General features: G+C 42.7%; 1 annotated feature.

Moving 5' to 3' along the window:
* Window positions 950–1901: an enhancer, noted in NCBI's record as "OCT4-NANOG-H3K27ac-H3K4me1 hESC enhancer chr14:26730497-26731448 (GRCh37/hg19 assembly coordinates)". NCBI's record gives its function as "activates a minimal SCP1, AML or CMV promoter by ChIP-STARR-seq in naive H9 embryonic stem cells {active_cell/tissue: H9 hESC(naive)}" and the evidence as "EXISTENCE:reporter gene assay evidence [ECO:0000049][PMID:30033119]".

The following is a 2301-nucleotide window of genomic DNA, read 5'->3' as shown; positions in this document are numbered from 1 at the left end:
CAACGTAACCTGAAATAATTGGTAGAAATTATGAAAAACCCTCAGGGCCAATAAGGACATTGGAGATAAAGTAGGAAAGACCATCTACAAATCAGCCATTATTTTGAAGTAGACAACTGACTTATAATCTGAAATATTTAGGCATAAGTAATCATGTTTCTGTGTGAATTTGTGGAAACTTTAAAAAGGGTAGAGCTTAGTAATAATTTGCTTTTTATTCTGACCATTAGTGGTGACATCTTGACAAGTTATTAACATACCAGCTTAAACATTGAGAGAGAAGAAAAGAAGGATAGAATAATAATTTTGAGATGAGAATCTGGTGAAGGAAGAGAGGAACAGACAGTTCTCTCCTGCTCTCATCTCTAACCTTGAGGTTAGATGATTTCTGTTAAAAAAAGAAAATAGATTTTTCTGCAGAATAGCAATTTCATGGCCCTTGTTCTGCAGGGAAGATTACTGCTTGGAGAAGTTTTCTGTTTCTGTTTGTCCTATGCTCCCACCTGGCTACTTCTCTCCTCTTTTCCCTAAAGGCAGAGATATGATCTCTGTAGCTGGATCCTGTTCTGCCTCACCTTTTTACTGTGGTCTGGACTACTGAACATTTCAAAGGGAAGGCATAGAAGAAGCAAGATGAGTATTATAATCCTTCTGGTTCCTTGTGTCACCCTGCTCAGGACGTGTCCTTGTTCTACCTTGTCGAAATATGGATGGTAGCCAGAAGCTCTGACCTACTTCTCTTTGCTTGCTACCCCTCTGATTTTCAGGGAACCCTAATAAGGAAATGCTTTGGGGAGGATAGGAAAGTTTACAAGTTCCACAACTATGTAAATAATTTAGCAACCTCCAAAATGAATTTGCATTAATATAGTCAGGGCTCCCAGAGCATCTATAATAGTAATTTTACTTTCTTACTTTCTACTGGCTCCAAATCACCCCTGTTCATTACTGCATAGGGACTCTCTTATAAACGTAGTAGAAATCACAGTAATTTTCTAAAATCTTCTGCTTGCATCTACAAAAACCTGGTTTTGTTTTTCAATCTACATATATCTTTAGCTGGAATAAAAAGGTAAAAACTTCTGCAATATATGTGGCTTTGTCATTCTGATTGGCCTTTAGGGATTGCCCAGAAAACAGTGGTGACTGCCCAGGGCTTATGCATTGACCTGCACTTTTTTAGTGTTTTTCAAGAGATTCAACAGATGGGATAATTGTTGTCCCTGAAAGCTCTGCCTGGTGGTCTGGCATCCCAGGAATTTGCCCACATTCCTTTGTGTTGGTTGTCTGACTCTGCCCTTTGCAGCAGGGTTTCACAGGTATAATAGGATTTTACTTTTAAGGTAGCAGGCAAGCTGCCTGGCAAAGAATCTACTTACAGAGAGGAGGCACTACCCTTCCCATTCCCTTGCCTCTGTGCTAGGAATCTTTGATTTAGAGCACTGCAGCTGCTGCAGTTCATTACTGTACATTTTAGAGTCAAGCACGACTGTATCAGTGGGTTACCCCCTAAAGTGCTATACTCATTGTGATAATAGCTAAGGATATTACAGACAGGAGGAGTGAATACTGCCTTTGGAGCATCACTACTCTCTGCCTAAAGTGTGCTTCCAAATAAGAGGGAGAGTGCTACCTTACAAGCCAGCTGTCACCTCTAACAGCTGCCCCACCAGTTCAGCCTTCTAAAACTCCAGGTGAGGGGCAAGGGCTTGTAACCATGGCTAGATCACCCCAAAGTGACTATGAGGCTCCAAGTGCCACAGCAGAGGAGCCAGGGCTGAGGAATGTGTGAGAATTGGGCTCATCAGTAATCTCTCTTGATTGGTACTTACAATCCTAAGTCATGGCTTGGCCACCTCTTTGCTCAACTCACAACACGCTGGTTGTATTAGTCTGCTTTCACACTGCTATAAAGAACTACCTGAGACTGGGTAATTTATGAAGAACAGAGGCTTAATTGACTCACAGTTTCCCAGGATTAACAGGAAGCATGACTAGGAGGCCTCAGGAAACTTACAATCATGGTAGAAGGTGAAGGGGAAGCAAACACATCTTACCATGGTGGAGTGGGAGAGATACAGCAAGGAGGGAAGTGCCACATCCTTTTAAACCATTAGATCCTGTGAGAACTCACTTACTATCATGGGAACAGCAGGGGGGAAATCCACCCCCATGATCCTATTGTTACCGGGGGGTCCTTGCTCACAGAGTTCCCAAGATGGTGGCGAGCCACTCCCAAGATTGTGGCGAGCCACTTCCAAGATGATGGTGGGCGGCTTCCAAGATGGTGGCAAGCCTCAT

The sequence above is a fragment of the Homo sapiens genome, chromosome 14 (assembly GCF_000001405.40).
Source record: "Homo sapiens chromosome 14, GRCh38.p14 Primary Assembly".
Lineage (NCBI taxonomy): Eukaryota > Metazoa > Chordata > Mammalia > Primates > Hominidae > Homo > Homo sapiens.
Note: the sequence above shows the minus strand (reverse complement) of the source record. Positions and strands in the feature narration are given on the sequence as shown.